Below are 20,690 nucleotides of genomic sequence, written 5' to 3'. Positions count from 1 at the left end.
GTTTCCTCAATTGTAAGTACACGCTGCTATGAGGATTACAGGTACCTGGGTGAGGAGAGCTTGGCACAGGCCCAGTGCCTAGTAGGGTCTCATTTATTCAGCAGATGTTCTTGAGTCCCTACTATGTGTCTGGTGTGGGTGTAAGTGCTGGAAATGTCGTGATGACTGCAAGACCCACTCTTGTGGGGCAAACGTTCTCAGGACAGGAGGCAATTAAAACAAAGAAAGATTACATCAGATAGTGAGAAGCACTGCACAGAAAAAATACTGAAAGCCATTAAGACTGGGGTCAGGGAAGGTGTCTCTAGGAGGTGACATTTAGTGAGAGACCTGAATAATGGGGAGGAAACAGCCCCTCAATGATTGGGAGGAGGGGGAAGAGCATTCTAGGCAAAGGGCACAGCAGTGCAAAGGCCCGGAGGCAGGAATGAGAAGCAGAGGGACCCGTGGTGGGGGGCACAGCAATGGGACAGGCCAGAGCAGGTAGGGCCAGATTGCACCAGGCCACCTTGGAATCCATGGGGAACAGTTTAGATTTTATTTGCCCACTGGAGGGGGTTGAGCTGGTAAGTGACAGAGTCAGTTTTACTTTTAAAGAAGCTCAGTCTGACAACAGTGTGGGGAAGGCTGGCTTCTTTGTCCAGCCCCCGAAGACCTCGCGTGGGCTTAGCAAGTGGAGAGGGAGGAACAGGACTCAGCTTCTTTTGCCCTGGAGGATGGCCCCAGCTCCTTCCCAGCTCAAATCACTAAGCGGTTTCCCACTGAGTTAAGGAAGCTTGTGAGGGGCGGGGGTCTCCATGCGGAGCTAAGCCAGTGAGCTCCGGGCTCATTCCTGATCAGAGTGTGGGGACCAGGAGGGCAAGACTGTGAGCTGTCCAAGGAAATTGCTTTTTCTGAGCCAGTCCCTGATGGCTGAGCTGCGAGTAGCAAGGGAGGCAGGGGTAGCAGGAAAGGCCAGGCTCCCCAGAGGAGGGGAGGGGAGGGGAGAAGAGACAGCAGTGTGGTTCCTCTCCCCAGGGTCAGGCTGCTCTTGGAACAGGGGTTCTACTGCACAGCCCACCCCTGACCAGGGGGATGCCCCCAGAGCAGAAGCTGTAGTTTCCTCAGACCGAAAGTTCACCAAAGGCAGGGGTGCGGTGTCTCCATTGGGTGGGGGCCCCCCAAGAGCAAGGACAGAATCTTGTATCAAGCTGGGCATGCTCAGAGGAAGCGAACTGTCTCCTGTCTCAGATTGGGGGCTCAGGCTAAGGGCTCCAGAGGTATCGGGGGTCTCTTCCTCTTTTCTTAGCCACCCACTCCCGGCCCTCAGAGAAGGCCCAGGTGCAAGAGGCTCAGAGCCTCTGATTTTTGGGAGGAGGCCACGCCTCCTCACAGCCTGTGCAAAGTCAGGTTTAGTAGTCCATGCTGTGTAGGGGAGAGACCATGCCCCCATCTCTCTAGCCCTCCGCCCATATCTGCTGCCCACAGCCCGGGCCGTCCTGGCTTTCAGTTCTCTCTTCCTGCGATGTATGTTCCTTCAAGGAAACATGCAGAATGATTTTGTTTTGCCAAACCAGCCTGTAGGAGGAATCCAGGAGGAAGGAAACCTCCCATGAGGCCTTGCTGGGAAAAGCCAGCTGAGGCAGCATCAGCCCAAATCACAGATGAGGACAGTGAGGCCAAGGGGACCCCTTCAGCACCTGCTGTCGGCGAGCAGTGGGGCGAATGGATGGGGTAGCAGGACAGTCAGTGAGACCCAACATGCTTTGTCTGCAGGCTTTTCCAAAACACAGCACGCAGCTCCTTGCTCACGGATGCACAAACATGCACACACTGAGAGAGGTATCTGCATGCTCACACGCGTGCAGCCAGCCTGCCGCTCGACTCCCGAAGAAAGGTCAGAAGTATTTTCAGCCTCCGAAAAAGCCAAGCGCACTGAAACCCAGAGGCCTGGGACCAAGGAAAGCTGCACCTGAATCTGCAGCCAGCCAACCCTGTGTGCTGCTGTCAGAATCTAATTAAAAGAGAAGTCGGTGGTGGAAATCCAGGCTCATTTCTCCAGTGGCATAACAAGTCTGTCTCCAGGCCCAGAGGGCTTAGCAGAAGGCTTGTGCAAACCTGCTGAGCCCAAAGCGGGGAGGCCGGCGGGGGAAAGGGCAGGAATGAATAGGGAGAACAGCACAGCACCTCCAGCCCCAGCCCTAGCCCCAGCCCCAGCCTGGCATGTCTCAGCTACCTCTGGGCTCCTGGGTCCCCTTCTCACACCACGAGCCTGGAGTCCTGCCTGAGCCTCCTGGGCCCACAGGGCAGGGAGTAGGTGGAGCCAGAGAGACATGCCAGGATCACGGGTCCCAGAGGGGGCTGAGGGACTGAGCCTGGCACCCAAGTGAGAGCAGGGGGCAGTGAGCACCCGGGTGAGAGCAGGAGGCAGTGAGCACCCCGGTGAGAGCAGGGGGCAGTGAGCACCCCGGTGAGAGCAGGGGGCAGTGAGCACCCCGGTGAGAGCAGGGGGCAGTGAGCACCCGGGTGAGAGCAGGGGGCAGTGAGCACCCCGGTGAGAGCAGGGGGCAGTGAGCACCCGGGTGAGAGCAGGGGGCAGTGAGCACCCGGGTGAGAGCAGGGGGCAGTGAGCACCCCGGTGAGAGCAGGGGGCAGTGAGCACCACGGTGAGAGCAGGGGGCAGTGAGCACCGCGGTGAGAGCAGGGGGCAGTGAGCACCCCGGTGAGAGCAGGGGGCAGTGAGCACCCTGGTGAGAGCAGGGGGGAAGCCCTCACTGCTCACTGGTCTTGCTGCTGCCAGGCCATGCAGCTCATTTCATTTTCCAAACACAAGGTATCCACGTACCCTGAGAGAGCTCAGAATTCATTGCCAGGGGAGGCTGTCAGCTCATCAAACTCTGCTCTCCTCCCAACCAGAAAAGGGTGAAACCCTGCTCACCCAGCACCCCAATCCCAGGCCAAGCACCTCCAGACCTGTGCCCTCATCCTTGGCTGGTCTGGGAGGCCCAGAAGTGTGGGGTTGGTGGGGTCAGGGGCTGTCCTACTCTCTAAGAGGCCTCTAGCCCCCTTATCCCTGAAAAAGGCCACCTGCCCACCCACCACCAGGAATGCCCAGTGCTTCCTGCCCCCTCAGCCTCCATTATCCAGACACAGCTATTTACTGGGTGAGCGCTCACCCTGCACCAGAAACCGTGCTGTTAGGTTTATACACTAGAGCAGCCGTCTGCAAACAATGCCCCTCAGGCTACAACCAGCCTGCACCAGTTTTGGTAAATGAAGCTTTATTGGAACACAGTCACATCCGCATAGAAAAGAACCCATTCAAGTAGCTCAGGATCATGGCATTCCAACTGTACACCCCTGGTCCCTGCTGAAGGACAAAATGATCTGCAAGGGAAACCTCAACTTCCTTGGCAGGCTTGGAGGTGGTGGGGCAGGCACAGTGATTCTGAACCTATGTGGTGGGACTGAGATACACTGATGTTATTGGGAACCAGGGTTTGCACAGAGAGAAGAGAGTCCGGTGTGGAATGGGAGAGACGAGGGTAGACTCCAGGATCTCAAATCTAAATCAGAGGTATCAAAACGAACCCCAACTCGAGAGTTCTTCCCTGGCCCTGTCCACTGAAAGAGCCTGAAGGCAGTGACTCTAGCCAGGGTGCCCTGGAGAAATGCCTAGAACTTCTCACAGATGAAAAGCAAGGAAGGGCTCAAAGAACAATGGGGATGTGTCCAAAGGACCCAGGAGCCAACACGAAGGGGTCCCCGCTGGCCAAATTCAAGACAATGTGAACATCAAAAATAATAATGATGGTCCTGATTAGAGCACGCTGGATTTTTTTTTTTTAAATCTAGGAATTTGTAGTGATAGTAAGGGCAGGGTGTGGAGTGGGGTCAGGTGAATCTCTGTAACTAGTGACAACTAGTCAATGCAGAAGGCAAGGCAGAATTAGACAATGGTGAATTAGCAATCACCAAGGATCACCCATGGATGACAAAGCCCCAGGGGGAAAGTTTGTGGAGGAACTGGATATTCACACAGTCTCCAAGAATCACCCAAAGGTGACTGAGTAATCACAAAGGGAAACCAGCACCTTTAGAAGGAGAGATCCAGCCGACGCTACCCTAACCAAGTGATCAGGACGGGGCCAGCTGCTCTTCTTCCTCCCCGAGGACTGCTGTGGGAGGTGTAGGGCTCCCCTGACCCCCAGCCCCACAGCACCTGGCCGAACACTGGCAGCTCATTGGGAGGAAATAACCAGGCAATTCCAGACTGTGGAACTTCTATGAGACGCTGGCTTGGACTTGTCAACAAAGTCAATATCATGAAGAAAACAAAAAAGCAAAGGGATTATTCTAGATTAAAAGGAGACTTAAGAGACATGAAAACCAAAGGCTGCCTGTGATTTCAGGCTGGATCCTGGATGGCATTTGGGGGAGTAGCTCTGAAAGATATTTTGGGGACAACTGGGAAAACCTGTACCTGGACAGTATTTAGATAGCATCAGTGCATAGACCTAAATTCCTGGGTGTGATATGCCATGCAGTTACGTTGAAGAGACATGCCGAAGTATTTAGGGGTAAAGGGTAATGATGCCTGCAACTGACTTTTTTAAAAGTGGGTGTATGTCTCTGTGCATGTATAATATGGGGGAAGATTGTAGCAACATGTTAACAGTTACCTGGGTGAAGAATATCTGTGTATTGTATTATTCTCTCACCTTTCCTGTAGTTTGAAATTTTTCAAAGTAAAAAGTTATGGGGGACCAGGCGTAGTGGCTCACGCCTGTAATCCCAGCACTTTGGGAGGCTAAGATGGGTGGATCACTTGAGGTCAGCAGTTCAAGACCAGCCTGGCCAACATGTCTCTACTAAAATTACAAAACTTATCTGGGCATGGTGGTGGGCACTTGTAATCCCAGCTACTTGGGAGGCTGAAGCAGGAGAATCGCTTGAACCCGGGAGGCAGAAATTGCAGTGAGCCGAGATCACGCCACTGCAATTCAGCCTGAGCAACAGAGTGAAACTCCGTCTCCAAAAAAAAAAAAAGTTATGGGAGAAAAGGCAAAGTAATTTAAAAAAAAAAAAAAAAAGCTGGCAGTTGGAGGGGAGGGGTTGTGCCCGCCTCCTCCAGCTCCCAGATCCCCACTACCCAGTGACTCAGTCTCCTCTGTCATCTGTACACGGGGACAAAAAGAGAACACGCCTCTGGGGCACGGTGAGGATTCCAGGGAGAGCATTGGCGCACTGTGACCTGGAATGAACCCAGGTGAGCTGAGACAAACCTGTGTGTCCTGAGCCTGCCCACGGAGCCCCTCCCTGCAGCCCCCCATCCACCCGCTACAGGCGCCCACACAGTCAGTTTCAGGTGGGTGATACTGCTCCAAATAGTGCTGACACAGCCCAACCTCCAGTCCTACAATATTTATGTGCCTCCAGGTGACGCTTCTGTGCATGGTTTCCATAAATTCCCAGGGTGAGCAGCTCAGCACTCAAAGTCATTAGAGCTGAGATGTCGCCAAGGGGCCGGAAGGCTCGCTGGGCACAGGGGCTCTCAGGGGCTGCCAGCTCCTGAGGAAACAGCAGGATGCTGGTGGGGCTTCTACTTTACAGGTACCCACCGTGTGTCAGGACTTTCCAATGCCTGACTGGGCACTGTGCGCGCAGCGTCCCACCTCACGGAGACTCTATGAAAAGAGAGCGAACCAACCCCGGGTGGCCCAGATGGGCAGGGGCAGGGCAGGGCAGGGGCAGGGGCAGGGTGGGGCAAGGCGGGGCAGAAGCGTGCACCTCGCTCCAAGCTCACATGCTGTCCTCCGAGGGTCTCATGGGGGACTCTCAACGCTGAGCACCAGAGCTGAATGTGAGCATGAAGGGGCTGTGCCACCCATTCCCGGCCCAGTCACCACCGAGCTGGCCCTGGGAGACACAGTCGTGGGCCCAGAGATCACCCACGATCACCTGCAAGCACCTCACCTACTCTGCCTCCCTTTAATCCCCACAGACACCTGGCAGGTGGGTGCCACCATTCCATCCTCATCCCATAGCTAGGGCACAAGAAATGACCTGTGCAGGGCCACCCCGCCAGCAAAGGGCAGGGCTGCGAATTCAGACCCGGGGTCACGTCCGCTCTGCACGGCTGCACTGAGCATGTGGAAGGGCCATCTTCTACAGGCAATTAGCACAACTCCCTTCCCTGTCTTTATCTCATTCTTATCAACACTTTACCGCTGAGGAAACAAACTGACAGGCTAAATGATGTGCAAAGTCGCGCTGCTTAGGACATGGGAGGAAAGCCAAATTCAAACCTAGGGTGACCAGTCCTACCCGGTTTGCTCAGGACTGTCCAGGCTGCGGCACTGGAAGCCCCAAACCCAGGAAATTCCTCAATCCTGGGCAAACCAAGACACTTGGTCACCCTAACGGGACTCCAGTGCCAATACTCAGCCTCCAAGCCATGGATGGATCCCTCTCTGTGAGCTCTGTCTGATTCCCCAACACTCCTGCCCTCAGAGTCTGACCTGGTTGAGGCCAAGAGGTTGTGCACCAGGAGCAGATCTGCCCTGCCTGACGCATTTCTCAGGGAGGCTCCGGGTGCAACGACCAGTCCACCTCTTCCCAGCAAACTGGTTAAGGTCTCTGGGACTCTGTTCATTCATCTGTAAGGTGGGTGTGAGGTCATCCTTTGGAGCAGAGACTTCACTGGATGCTGGACTCTCCTAGCTCAGGGCCATCATGGGAGCCTGCAAGGGATGGAGCGATGGACGTCCTGCCAGCTCCAAGACTGGTGGCCAGACCCCAAATTTCCTTTAACAATCCATTTTGGAATTGATTGTACAAAATTTGGTATTTTTGGTGTGTCTTTCTAGAAAGATCGTTAACTATTTTTACTAGCATTTCCAAGAGGTCTATAAATCACCCTTGCCTACCTCCGAAAAAGTTAACAATTCCTACAGTAAGGCCTACTTGTTACTAAGCACACAAGAAGGTGGACACAGATGTTGGTGTCAACCCAAAAACCCAGACCAAGGCATACAGAAAGTGCCACTGCAGAGAACGCTGTCCTGACCTGGCTGTGCCAAAATTTTGCCTTTAAAAACAAAACTAATCTGAAATCCAGCCGGGTGCGGTGGCTCATGCCTGTAATCCCAGCACTTTGGGAAGCTGAGGTGGGCAGATCACCTGAGGTCAGGGGTTCAAAACCAGCCTGGCCAACGTGGTGAAACCTCATCTCTACTAAAAATACAAAATTAGCCAGGGGTGGTGGCGCATGCCTGTAATCCCAGCTACTTGGGAGGCTGAGACCGGAGAGTCGCCTGAACCTGGGAGGCAGATGTTGCAGTGAGCCGAGATCACGCCATTGCACTCTAGCCTGTTCAACAAGAACAAAACTCCATCTCAAAAAAAAAAAAAAAAAAACCCTGAAATCTATCAGTGCACCTGGCTATTCTGGAGGAAGTGGAATAGAAAAAGCATCTTGAAGTATGGGCTATTGATATTCTCCTCATTAGTCCTATTTAATTTCCTTTTGTTTTCTTCAATTATGACAGCCAGCCTAGTGTTTCTTCTCCAGCATCGACACTTTAGGACGGAGGGTTGGGCAGCCAGCCACCTGGGTCACCTGGGGCCAGCAACCACCTTTGCTGCGAGTCTTACCCTTGGCAGCTACTCCAACCTTGCCCTGTACAAGCAGGTGCCAGGGCTGAGCTAGTGCCTGTGCCTGCCCACCACCCTGGGGACCCGGTGAAGACTGAGCCATAGAGAGGGGGCCAGGCATCTTCCGGCTCCTGCACGTGCTGGGCTGCCCACAGCTCAGCTCAGCTCAGCTCAGCTCACCCGCAGCCCCCATGAGGAAGGAGGGACCACCGAGCCTCTAGTCAGAGAGGACAGGGAGGCCCAGCAGGGGAGTGACCAGTGCAGGCAGTGATGGCGCCCAGCCTGGGTCTGCATGACATTCACCGTGGCCTGGGATTGTCTTGTTATCTGTTCGCTATTTGCAAGAAACAATAAACCCACAGGCCCGGAGGCAGACCTACAGGGTTCAGCTCCTGACCCCACCACTTCCTGCCTTGGTTTCTTCCATTTTAAAGTGGGTGTGATAATATTAATAGTACCTACTGCACAGAGCTGCCGTAAGATGACTCAAGTTGCTGCTAATGGAGAGCTCAAAGCAGCCTCTGGGACCCATGAGTCTTAATACAGATTAAGTGGATGGTGGTGGTCTCTCCCCCCCTGATCTCCCTCCCCTACCATGCCCATATCAGAGAGGCAGGTCCATGAGGGCAGGGGCTGCTGCTGGAACCCAGTGCCAAGCACAGGGACTAAAGCTCCAGCCAGTGCCCACCCTGGGCCAGAAGGCCTGGAAGAGCCGGGGCGGCACCGATCGAAGGAGACACCGATACAGAGTTAGAAGCTGAGATCAGCAGAGAGTGAGCGTGCAAACCAGACCACCAGGGAGGAAGAGACGAGTGAGTGCTGAAAGAGAGACAGACAGACAGAGGTAAGGCAGAAGAAAGAACGCCTGTGCGTGCACGAGGGTGCAGGTGAGCAGGTGCAGTCAGGGTTGTTTCTCTGGATTCATTTAACATCTAGAAAGTGAAGCACTGAAGGCAAAATCAGGTCCCTGGCTGAGCCCCCGGCACACAGTAGGAGTCAAAACTCCTATCGGCTCCTCACCTGACGTAAAGGGATTTCCTATGCCCTGCTGATCGCAGGCAAGCGACTGCCTCTGCCCATCTCCTTTCCTTGGTCCTGCTAGCTCACTCAGCAAACCTCATGGAGCGTCCATGCCTGCCGGGCCCTGAGGACACAGCACGGCCAGGGAGATGCCCAGAGTCCTGTTTACGGCCCGATGCAGAGAGTGCGATGGAGGAGGGAGTGAGGACTAAGGGAGCCCAGAGGAGAACTAGTGGAGGCAGTTGGGCTCCATGGAGAAAGGGGCAGGAAGTCAGAGTGACCACGAAGATTCTGCCCAATCAGAAGACAGCCTGAGAGTCCCAGCAGGGAGAGCAGTGGGTGCAAAGGCCTGGGGGAACAGAGTGCTCAGGCAGAGCCTTTAGGGGACTGGGACCTGTCCAGTGGCTGGAGAAGGGGAACCCAGGGGATATCGACCAAGTGCAGCCTGGGGGGCCTTGACTTTGGGCCACAGGCAACCTGGATAGTTCTGATGCAGGGTCAGATGTGATAGGAGCTTTGTTCTATCACGTCTGCCTCATAGCAGTCAAGCCTCAGCATGAGGCCCAGAAAGCGTCCCCAGGCACTGGCTGTGGCTGCCCTGCTCTGCTCTGAGCTCTGCATAGGGGAGCCACATGGAGCCTGCAGGCCTCGCCTGCATGATATTGAATGGTGGAATCCAGACAACTCACCTGGCCCTCCACCACCCCACACCTGCACCCACACCTGCACCCATGCCTGCACCTACACATGAACATACACCTGTACCCACACCTGCATCTACACCTCACCCACACCTGCACCCACACCTGCACCCACGCCTGCACCCACACGTGAACATACACCTGTACCCACACCTGCATCTACACCTCACCCACACCTGCAACTACACCTGCACCCACACCTGCACCCACGCCTGCACCCACACATGAACATACACCTGTACCCACACCTGCACCTATGCCTGCACCTACACCTGTACCCACACCTGCACCCACGCCTGCACCTACACCTGCACCTACACCTGCACCCACGCCTGCACCCATGCCTGCACGTACACCTGCACCTACACCCGCACCCATGCCTGCACCTACACCTGCACCCATGCCTGCACCTACACCTGCATCCATACCTGCACACATACCTGCATCCACACCTGCACCCACACCTGCACACACCTGCACCCACACTTGCACACACACCTGTACACACACCTGTACCCATGACTGCACACAAACCTGTACCCACACTTGCACACAAACCTTTACCCATGCCTGCACCTACACCTGCACCCACACCTGTACCCACACCTGCACCCACACCTGAACACACACCTGTACCCACACCTGCACCCATGCCTGTACCTACACCTGAACACACCTGCACCCATACCTGCACTCATGCCTGTACCTACACCTGAACACACCTGCACCCACACCTGCACACAGGCCTGCACCTACACTTGAACACACCTGTACCACATGTGCACCCACACCTGCACCCATGCCTGCACCAACACCTGCACACAAACCTATCCCCACACTTGCACACAAACCTGTACCCACACCTGCACACATCCCTGCATCCACACCTGCACACACATCTGCACGCACACCTGCACCCATACCTGCACCCACACATGCACACAAACCTGTACCCACACACCTATACACACACACCTGCACACACACCTGTACCCACACCTGCACCCACACCTACACCCACACCTGCACCCATACGTGCACAGTATCTGCTCAGCACCCATTTGCCCGTGCTTAGCCAGAGGGGGCATCACCAACATCTTGAGGCTGAGACTCTAAGTTCCCCTTGGTGACAGTGCGGGGAGGTGGGGAGGCCACAGGGTGGGATGGCTCAGCCAAGGCGGTTGCCCTGCTTCCCACATAGGCTGTGAGAACTGCAGGGAAGGGTGGTTCTGTTTCCACATGTAAATCCACATCCAAGACTGCTGGGCGGTGTTGGGCAAGAAAGGTCAGAATTGATGCGACCAACACAAAGCTGGGACCAACCCAGAACAGGTAGGGCTGGGGAGGGGGAGTGGGAGAGTTGGGGTTTCCAGGCTTGATCAGACCCCCAGCTCCCAACTGGACATTGCCCAAAAGACTCAAGCCACAGTCAAGAACTTATATGATACAGCCACGTGTTGCTTAACGACAGGAATAATGCCGTTCTGAGAAAGGCATCATTAGGCAATTTTGTCATGTGATCATAGAGTGACCTTACACAGATCTAGGCGGTAAAGCTGACTGCACACCTAAGTCATGCTGTACAGCCTGTTGCTCCTAGGCCTCATACCCGTACAGCATGAGACGGTACTGAACACTGCAGGCGACTGTAACACAATGGTATTTGTGAATCTGAACATATCTAAACATAGAAAAGGTACAGTAAAATACTGTATTGTAATCGTATAGGACCATCATAATATGTGTGGTCTGTTGTTGACTGAAAGTCACTATGCAGCACGTGACTATGTTAATATAACTGACCAGTTTCCCACCCTCTCACAGGCATGCACAGGCATCAGCTCACGCTTCTCAGGGGCCCTCCCGCTAAATGCCCTCCAGAGAGCCTGGCCCACCCCGCTCTCACTCCCCTCTCTCGCTCCCCTCCTGGGTTCCTTCCTGGGCTCCTCGGATCAGTGGCAGGTGTGTCTGCCTCACAGCTGGGCACGTGTATGCGGCTGACCCGCATCCTCTCCTGTGGGTGAGACTCCCTCATTGGGGCACCTGCTCTGCAGGACCTGTGCTGTCACTGGGCTGGTGTCACCACCCACTCTATGAAGCTCGCTTCTCTCCCCAGGTACCTGGGAGGAGCCAAGATCCCGGTCTTCACCTGTGGTCAGCAGCCCCAATCAGGGCCCACTAGTCATGTAAACACCATGGACCAAGGGTCCCAGGGGTAACTGGAGCCCTGGAAGGCTCAGGGTCAGGCAGAAGGGAAGAGCTGGCGTGGGAAAAAAGGGGAGATTTTGGGGAGAAAGAAAGCAAAGGAGAGAGAGAAGCCAAGTCAATGCCTGTACTTGCACTGCAGGACAATACAGAGAGGATAAGACACTGGCCCTGCTCACAGATATTTTGCCATCTGGAGGGAGGATGGTGCGGACATACGCACCCACAAGACCCAATGGAACACGGGGCTGATGGGGCAGAGGACGGCAGACCAGGTGGGGGCTTCAGAATCAGAGGCACCCTGAGATCCTGGCTCCACCAACGAGTGTGTGGTCCCAGTCACCCTGAGCAAGTCCTGTGACCACAATGACACAACAACTGACACGTGGTGCTTCCTCCCACCAGGCACAGCCCTGGGACCTGCATGTACACGGAGCTGCTTAGTCCTGGGGCAGGTTCTATAATTATCCCCCATTTTACAGGAAGGAAACTGAGGCCATCAGTGGGAAGGCCAGCCAACCCAGCCCCTGAGCCCACACTGACCACCATCCAAGCCCACTCAGACAAGGCATGCAGGGGCAGCCGGGAATGCCTCCTGCAGAGGTTGCCTCCTGTGGACCTTCCCTGCTACCCCGCTGCCAGGCTCACAGAGGACCATTGCGTAGCGGCCACTCTGCCTGAGTGTGCATTAGGCACTAGCCTACACCCTCTGCACATGTGACCTCATTCATTCTTCCCAACCACCCAGGGAGGGAGCCTCCCTAATTACACCCAGGGCCTGACCTCCACTGCATTAAGCCCTCAGCCTAGCAGCTGACATTCAGCGGATCCATGTCCATGGCTCTATTTGTTCCTTGCCAAGTTCCAAAAGGACTGGGCAGCTGCCCCTTGGGCATCTGCCCTCCCCCTCTCCCTGCTGCCGGGCTCAGAGGGGAGGGGGATGTGGAAGAGACACACAGAGTGGAGGGGAGGCGAGGATCGGGGGCTGGCTGCTACCAGCTAAGACTGGGGGGTGGCTCACAAGGACAGGACTGCCCCTGCCGTGCCAGCTCCCCTTCCTCACCTCCCGTCCCATATGTCCTCTCCACGATGTCTGTTCATCCGCCTTCCCTGTACCGGTTCCCTTTTTCCTCCAGGTTCCCTCCTGCTCCAGGTCAGGCTTCACCAAGCCTGTTCCCTGAGCCATCAGCGACCAACTTCTTTTTAAAATCATGAAATCTTTTCATCACCTAAATCTTCTGGTTGGGGGGAATCCAAGTGCTAGACACAGGAAAGATCTGAGCTCCTCCAGGTGAGGAGAGAGGGGCCTGGAGGCCTGACCCTCAGCCATCTACTGCCCCACAAGACATGCCTTGAGATGCTCTTCACCCCCTCCAGGCCCGAGTTTGCAACCAGCCAACTTATTTCTGACCCTCCACATAAGAAGGCCCTATGGGGTCCCAAACCCACCCCTACCTCCCATGCCTCACAAACTTCCTGAAAGGGAGTCCTTCTGAACATCTAACTTCAAGCCTTCCTGATGCTGGAAAACACTCATCTTCCTTGTGAACTTGTTCTTGTCGGAGCCTCCTGGGAAGTCTCCACAATCTTTAGAAAATCCATTTCTCAAGTTTTGCTTGCCAACTTTTAATTTAAAAAACATAACAGGGTGACAACCACAATGACACACACATTAACAAAAAAAATTAAGACAAACTGCCGAGCAGAGCCGACTCCATGCAGTGATAGGACGCGAGACCCTGCATGCTCTGGCAGTGGCCCAGACACCAGGCGCTCCTCCTCGGCAGCTCCTGGGCGCTGGGAGGGCCTGGTGCATCTTTTCACCCTCACGCCAATTTGCATACCATTACCCAAGAAGCCCTGCGCCTGAATTTCTCTTTTGCAAATTCCCACCCGTTTCATGTCATAAATAAGATAGGAGACAGAAAACTAATACAGCCCAGTGATGCATTATTCATGCCGCATCACACTCGTATGATAGATTTACAACAGCTAATACATGCAAACTAAGTTTAGGCACTAAACATGAAAATTAAGGGTGGGGAAGGCGGCTGGGGCGGGGGGTGGGCAGGGGAAATCAAGGGGCTGTTGGTGTTCAGGAGCCCAGAGAAGTTTCTTCTCTGTCCTGCTTAGGGACAAAAAGCATGAGAGCCGGTATGAGAGGCCAGTGCAGAGGTACCGGCAGGAGGCATCAGATGCAGAGCAGATTGCTGACCGCACGCGCTTCAGGAAGCACCTTCATGCTCCGAAGCCGGTTAAAACCAAGCCTCGGTCAGCTGCTCTGCAATGCCCCCACCCCCCACTTGGGGAAACATTACAGACAGAGCCCATCTCCCTGAGGGGCTTCTGGCCTTAACCACCCTTTACTGAGCACCTGCTCTGCGTCAGGCCTGGCCTTGGGCCATGGGGATAGGATGGTAACAATGGGAGCCAGCCAGGCCCAGTCCCACCCTACTCAGCTTCAGTCTGGTTAATCCCATAACCGGCCCCAGGATGTCAGCATGTAGCTGTGGTGTATGTAGGAGGTGAAATGGTCCAGACAGGCTTCTCCAAGGATGGGAAGCCCGGGTCTAATGGGGGAGGGGCTGCCCCAGTTAACCCCACCACAGCCCCTCAAGGCAGGAACCAGGCCTGGGGTCCAAATGCTGACGCCACTTGCCCTGAGTTCCAGCACTTTCCAGGAAGGACCCAGGCCTGTGCTTCTTGCAACTGCACCAGGGAGGCTGAAAATCTGCTTGGGGGAAGGGGGTTGCCATAGAAACACCACAAGGCTGGTGCGGGTGCAGGTCCAGGCAGGGTTCTCACCCTTGAGTGACACTGTTGTCCATCTGTCCCCGGCTGCCATCCAGGCAGGGACTATCCCCACTGGCCACAGACCCTCTGGACAAGCCCCTTCTGCGAATTCCTCCCTCCCTTCTCTTGGGAGGGGACTCCCTGCCCTACTTCCTTGAAGGCACAGTTCTTCCCAGGACACTTCCCTAACTGCCCCAGCGCAGAAAGAATGCCTAACCCCCCGAATCTCACCTTCCTGCAGAGTCCTGCGAGGGCCCTGCGACCGCCCTGCACAGGCGGCTCCGCCGTGGCGGAGGAAGGTGCCGGCACACTCACCCCTAACTGGCTGAGAGGCTGCGCCGTGCCCGGCCCTGGGACTCACTGGTTAACAAGGCAGTGAGGCGCCGGTGCAGACGGACAACTGCACTCAAGGAGATAATTGCAGAAAGTGACCAACACTCTGAAGGCAATAAAGCCGGGTGATGTGCTGAGACCATGAAGGGGTAGGGATGACTCGGCTGGAGCAGTCAGGGTGGCTTCACTGAGGAGGCGGCAGTTAAGCCGAGACCCAAGCTAAAGAAGAGCCACACAGGAGGGGAACAGTGCTCCAGGCAGAGGGAACAACAGAGGTGAAGGCCTGGTGGTGGGAAGGGGCCAGCATGGCTGCACACTGCAAGCCAAAGGGCCTGGCTTCTAGTCCACATCCCCATCTGTAAAATGGGCCCAGCGGGTCACTCCTCAGCGTTGCGGAGATCCAATAGCATAATGTGTATTCATAGCCCAGCCGGGTCCCCAACGCCCCACGCTGTCACTACTGTTGTCCTCCCACAAGCCAGGGTGGCAGAGACGCCAGCTCACACCTTGTCAGGGAGCAGCCTTGCAGGGCACTGGCCCTCCATGCAGCCGAGCACACCTCATGTGCCGCAGGCCTGCTATCAGCCTGTTCCCAATAAGTTTTTTTAAATTAAGATGCAACAATCATCCCACAGCCAGCTTCCCCCTCCAGCAATCGGTTAAAATGAACTCCAAACGACTGGATTAGACTTTGAAGGCGGTGCGATCTAGATCATGAACGCGGAGGACGCGGTGTTGACACGGGCCCCGGTGAGCGACATTATTATTTAACAGGCCTCGCTTCTGCCTCTGCTGGGATCAAGGAGCTGAACAAGCAGTTGGTGGGCAAGCGTAAAACCCAGAGACAGACCGCGGGTGCCAGCTCTGCAGGGGATGGTGGCACAAAACAGGTCAAGGCAGCCCAGCAGGGACCAGCTGGACAAGGCGCAGAGTCCAGGCCATGTGGGCCTCAGGGAGGCAGTCTTCAGCTCAGGCGCCCCACCCTTGGAGGCCTTCTGGCCACTTGCGGGCTGCCTCTGGCCTAGGCGTGGCTCGCGGTGCTTTCTTCTGGCCAGAACATCACTTCCCCTCTTCCTTCATAGTCACACACCAACTCACCCGCATAGCCGAGCTCGGGGATCCTGGCCTCCAGACAACTGTCTCCTGCTCCTGTCCTGCGTCCAGCTGGGTCTGGCACCCCTCTCGCCTCCTCTGGGATCCCGCCTCCCCTGGGCTTTCCCTGTCCCTGGTCTCATGACACTGGGCGGAAGCTGACAGTCCCAGCTCTGTCTCTGCACACTGGACTCCGAGCTCCTGGACTGCTGAGCCCACCTTGCTCATTTCTGTGCCTCCAGCACCTCATACAGAGAGCCTGGAATTGGGAGCCCCTGCTAGATGCCAGTGATCCAGGCACTGTGGAAACAAAGATGAACACAACACAGTCCTCGGCCCGGAAGGCGTGCTCATGGAAACAAGAGGAGCTCCTGGGAGTTACATCTGACGCAGACAGAAAGCTTTGGGGGGCCCAGGCACCCCAAGGAAACTGAGACTTCTGCCCACCAAGGTGGGTGGGTTAAGCACAGGGGTTAAGACTCAGAATGCCTGTGTTCAAATCCCAACCCTGCCTCTTCTAGCTGTGTGACCTTGGGCAAGTTACTTAACCTCTCTGTGCCTCTGTTTCCTCATCTGTAAAGTGGGAATAATCGTATTCATCTCAAAGCGTGATTTGAGGATTAAATGAGATCCTATAGGTAAAGCGCAAAACTCATTTCTGGTCCAAAGGAATCGCTCAGTATACATTGGTTTACTTCCCGAGGGTGGGAGGAGTCAGAAAAAGCCCCTTAGAGGTAACACAGTCCTAGATTAAGCCCCTGTGTTTTCACATTTGGTCCTGGGCCATGCTAGCCACAACCTCAGCCAAAGCACATGCCTGGGTCTCCTGGCTTGGAGCATTGAACGGCTCTAAGAATCTCAAACCCCATAGGGGGTTTTCTCAAGCCTGGGGCAGATTCTGCCACATGGCTGCCAGCAAGGAATGCCCTTCCTCTGAAGGCAGGCATTCTGCTGCAGACATCACACGCGAGGCACAGCCCACAGATGCTGAGCCCTAGGCACACATACGAGACCACAGCCAGTGAGAGAGCAGCAGCAGCCCCGGCTCCAGGCGGCTCCCCCAGGCCTGGCTGGCCATGCAGTGGCCACTGTGGTGAGCGTGGAGCCGGGCAGCCCAGGAGCAGGTCAAGCAGTCGTTAGCAGCAACCAGACGGAGCCATTTCCAGATCTCCAGCGCCAAGGTGGAGCCGGCTTCCCCTGTATTCCAAGCAGCAGGAGCATGGCTTATTAAATACGCATAGCGATCACCTTGTTACTGTGCCGAATGGTTGTGTGTACTGAAGGCAAGCTGCCCGCACCGCGCAGCGAACAGAAACTTTTCCATTTCCCTGGCTGCACATGGGGGCGTGTGCTCCCTCTGGCCCCTGCTGCAGAGGCTCCCTGGCCACCCCTTCCTCCATCTCGCCTCCCTCCAGCCAACAGCCCTCCTGATGCCCCCGAGGTGTGCAAAGCAGGTGAAAGGCCATATTGATCCCCTTCTTTACAGCAGCTGGTCCAGAACTAATCTTAAATCATCACAGCCTCGTGCTGTAGCCTGGTGGCCATTGGGGCCCCAGGGATGGTCACGCCAGAGCTGAGCTCTGTGGGCTGGGAGTTGACTGCACTACGGCTGGCAAGGGGCAAGAACAGGTGAGAGCCAGGCAGGGCCTGACCCGGGCCCCTGTCCTTCCCTTGGCCATCCGTCCCATGCTCCTGGACAGCTGTCGGCAGGAGGAAGGCTGTCTTCCAGTGAGGCGAGAGGATGGCAGACCTGCAGTGTGGGCTCGATGCCCCACACCCACTGACAACACCGACCCCGGGAGCAGCTTGATTTTCCAAATAAACGACATATACAGCAATGCGGATTTAAGATAGGTAAATTATTACAATGACAGCAAATAATGTTCACCCTGCCCTCGCCACGTGCCAAGACCGTGTGAAACGGCCCTTTCGCTTGAATGTTCTCGGTTTGTCCTCCTGCTAACTCCCCACTGGTACTGTTTTCATTCCATTTTACAGATGAAGTAACTGAGGCCCAGGAAGGCTCCATGACTTATGCAAGGTTGCATAGCTTGGCAGGGGCACAGCTACGGTCCCGTCTGAAGCAGCCTGCTCTCCAACTGCACACCTCCAAGGGGGTAGGGTGCCAGCTGCCCGGAGTTGGAAGTGGCCGGGACACAGGCAAGGGCTGCTGTCTTCAATGACGCCTCCCCAGTCCTACCCACTCCTGAAGTCTCAAGTGCTCCTGAGCTGCCTGAAGAGCCTGGGAGGAGCCCCACAGGCCCAGCTCACAGGGGCAGCTCTGTGCCCTGGGGCCGCGCCACTCACACCTCCCCTGCCAGCAGCCGGCAGCCACTTCTCTGCTCTCGCAGGCCCCTGCCTGTAATTTCTGGCTTCCCCTCCCTCCAGACCCTTTCATTAAAAGATTCTTCCTTGGAAACCCCTCTCAGTTTACCCTGCCTCCTGTTTCCTGAGCTGCCTCCTACCTGGTGTGCCCCAATTCTCCTACTGGCAGCACTGAGAGAATGTCCTCTGACCAACAGGGGGCTGAGGGCCTGCACCCTCCCATCCCATTCTTTCTCTGTTCTCGGCTTCTTCCTGTCTCGGGCCCCACTCCCCCCAATATTGAGAACAGGGACTGGGTCTCCCTCATCAGACTAGAGGCCCTCAAAGGGCAGGCTGTGCCTCCTCCGTTAGACTGGAGGCCCTCCAAGGGCAGGCTGTGTCTCTCTCCACAGACTGAAGCCCCCACCTCCAAAGACAGGCTGTGTCTTCCACATCAGACTGAAGGTTGCCCCAAGGGCTGGGTCTCCCCCAGCAGATTGGAGACCCCCAGAGCAGGCTGGGCCTCCTTTCCTCCTCACACCACTGCCCTGAATGGGCGCCCAGCACACTAGGCCTACAGGCCGAGCACCTGTCCACCAGTATACTCCTGGGCTGAGTCAGACGCTGTGCTAGGGGGTCTGCAGGAGACCGCTTGCAGAGCAGTCAGACCTGCTGTGAGGACAGTGCTCAGACACTTGGGGGCTACTGGGAGAGGCAGGCCAAGGGGTCAGACATGTCCTTCCTGGCTTGAGACCCAGATGGGTCAGAGGACCCGAAAGGGCCTGGGAAAGCTAGTGCTCCTCGCTCACCTTCCTCTCAGAAGGCCAAGGAAGTGCAAGGCCCTTGGAGGAAAGAGATGGGGTGGGGTGGGCTGGGGTGATAGCAGGGAAGCCCCCAGCGTGAACCAGGGGCTGGGAAGGGAGGGGGTGGGGTGGGCTTGGGGTAGAGCAGGAAGCCCCCAGCATGAACCAGGGGCTGGGAAGGGATGAGGTGAGGTGGGCTGGGGGGATAGCAGGGAAGCCCCCAGCATGAACCAGGGGCTGGGAAGGGAGTCTGCAGCTGCAGTTGCTCCAGCTGTTCTTGGGGGAGAAAGGGGACCGAGGAACCGGGAGTGCTAAGGCAGGAGTTTCCCTCCTGTTGGTGTCTCACTGTCCCTTGGCCCAGCCCAGTAGCACCAGTGAGGTTAAAGGTCCTCACTGCCAGGTCCTGGCATGAGTCCAGGAGATGAGGTTGGAGCTCATGCTGCCCATGAAGGGTGCCCAGCCCAAGAGTCACCATCAGCCCCCAGGCCCCTGCTCCTCAAAAGAGCAAAAGCTCACCCACTGGTCCTGCACATGGCACTGCCTCTCCCTTCTGTCTAAGGAGCTGGGCTGGGTAACTCCACCTCCCCTTCCCAGCACCCAGGAAGAGCTGCTGATCAATTATCTCCTGGGCTGGCAACTGGCCAGGTACCATGGCTTCCAAGCATCATCTCACTCCATGAGAGATGGTTAATTTTATGTGTCAACTTGACTGAGCCACGAGGAGCCCAGATATTTGGTTAAACGTGGCTCTGAGTGTGTCTGTGAGGGTGTCTCCAGATGAGATTAGCATCTGAATGGTAGGTTTAGTCATGCACATGGCCTTCCCAGTGTGGGTGGGCCTCACCCAATCTGCTGAAGCCTGAATGGAAAAGGCTGGGAGGGGAGAATTCGCTCCCTGCCTGACTACCTTCCACTGGTTCTTTCCTGCCTTCAGAATCACACTGAAGCATCAGCTCTTTTGGGGTCTCAGGTCTCCCAGCTTTTGAACTGGAAGGCACACCACCGGCTCACAGGTTCCCAGGCCTCCGTATTCACACTGAACTATGCCGGCAGCTCGCCTGGGTCTCCAGCTTGCTGTCCACAGATGCTGGGGCTTCACAGCCTCCATCACCCCATGAGCCGACTCTTTATAATAAGTCTCTTTCTATATACGTGTGTATACATATACTTGCGCAAACACACACTCACATACGTTCCATTGGTTCTGTTCCTCTGGACAACCCTGACTGATACAGTAAGGAAAAGGATTCCAGGAACGGGACACTTATTCCCATTACAGACTGGAAGCCTCGTGCTCCCACGGGAGCCAGCACAGAGGCGCCCAGATGTAAGTGGCAGAACTGAAAGACGGTCTGGTAGGTCCGGCTCCAACGACAACACCTCTGTGCTGCTACAACACCAGAAAAGCAAGCCAGGGAAAGGGGCGGACCACATCCCCCAGACTCAGCCCCCAGTCTCAGAGCTCATCCATAAGGCCCCGTGCCTCAGTTTCCCCCTTTGTCAAATGAGAGTTGTGTCATCTGGAGCCCAGCCCTGATCATCTGTGCTCTTAAGATCCCAGGACTCCACTTAGTGTCTCTGCCAGGCTGTTGAGCAGCTGATTTACAGCTGCATGAGAGAGAACTAGGCAGGCGAATGAAGACTGCCCCTCATGAGGGAGCGCCCTGGGAGAGCTCCACTCCAGGCCAGGTGGCGACTCATTGCAATCGATAATCCAAACAAATCAAATATCACCAAAATACCTCTTGGGGAACCATGCTGAGTCTCCCGCCCAGGATGGACTGCAGGTGTGAAGGTGAGCGGG

At 55.8% G+C, this 20,690-nt stretch overlaps 1 protein-coding gene across 35 annotated transcripts in view, besides 5 other annotated features; it reads right to left on the bottom strand.

The window, feature by feature from the left end:
- ARHGEF10L (Rho guanine nucleotide exchange factor 10 like) overlaps nucleotides 1–20,690 on the bottom strand; it is a 184,441-nt gene that overhangs the window by 12,060 nt on the left and 151,691 nt on the right. The window lies entirely within an intron of this gene.
- Nucleotides 1,189–1,790: an enhancer, noted in NCBI's record as "H3K4me1 hESC enhancer chr1:18010521-18011122 (GRCh37/hg19 assembly coordinates)". NCBI's record gives its function as "activates a minimal SCP1, AML or CMV promoter by ChIP-STARR-seq in naive H9 embryonic stem cells {active_cell/tissue: H9 hESC(naive)}" and the evidence as "EXISTENCE:reporter gene assay evidence [ECO:0000049][PMID:30033119]".
- Nucleotides 2,577–3,137: an enhancer, noted in NCBI's record as "H3K27ac-H3K4me1 hESC enhancer chr1:18009174-18009734 (GRCh37/hg19 assembly coordinates)". NCBI's record gives its function as "activates a minimal SCP1, AML or CMV promoter by ChIP-STARR-seq in naive H9 embryonic stem cells {active_cell/tissue: H9 hESC(naive)}" and the evidence as "EXISTENCE:reporter gene assay evidence [ECO:0000049][PMID:30033119]".
- Nucleotides 8,294–8,903: an enhancer, noted in NCBI's record as "H3K27ac-H3K4me1 hESC enhancer chr1:18003408-18004017 (GRCh37/hg19 assembly coordinates)". NCBI's record gives its function as "activates a minimal SCP1, AML or CMV promoter by ChIP-STARR-seq in naive H9 embryonic stem cells {active_cell/tissue: H9 hESC(naive)}" and the evidence as "EXISTENCE:reporter gene assay evidence [ECO:0000049][PMID:30033119]".
- Nucleotides 18,267–19,053: an enhancer, noted in NCBI's record as "H3K4me1 hESC enhancer chr1:17993258-17994044 (GRCh37/hg19 assembly coordinates)". NCBI's record gives its function as "activates a minimal SCP1, AML or CMV promoter by ChIP-STARR-seq in naive H9 embryonic stem cells {active_cell/tissue: H9 hESC(naive)}" and the evidence as "EXISTENCE:reporter gene assay evidence [ECO:0000049][PMID:30033119]".
- Nucleotides 19,573–20,072: an enhancer, noted in NCBI's record as "H3K4me1 hESC enhancer chr1:17992239-17992738 (GRCh37/hg19 assembly coordinates)". NCBI's record gives its function as "activates a minimal SCP1, AML or CMV promoter by ChIP-STARR-seq in naive H9 embryonic stem cells {active_cell/tissue: H9 hESC(naive)}" and the evidence as "EXISTENCE:reporter gene assay evidence [ECO:0000049][PMID:30033119]".

Source organism: Homo sapiens, chromosome 1 (genome assembly GCF_000001405.40).
Source record: "Homo sapiens chromosome 1, GRCh38.p14 Primary Assembly".
NCBI lineage: Eukaryota > Metazoa > Chordata > Mammalia > Primates > Hominidae > Homo > Homo sapiens.
The sequence above is the reverse complement of the archived record's forward strand: the minus strand, read 5'-3'. Positions and strand labels throughout refer to the sequence as shown.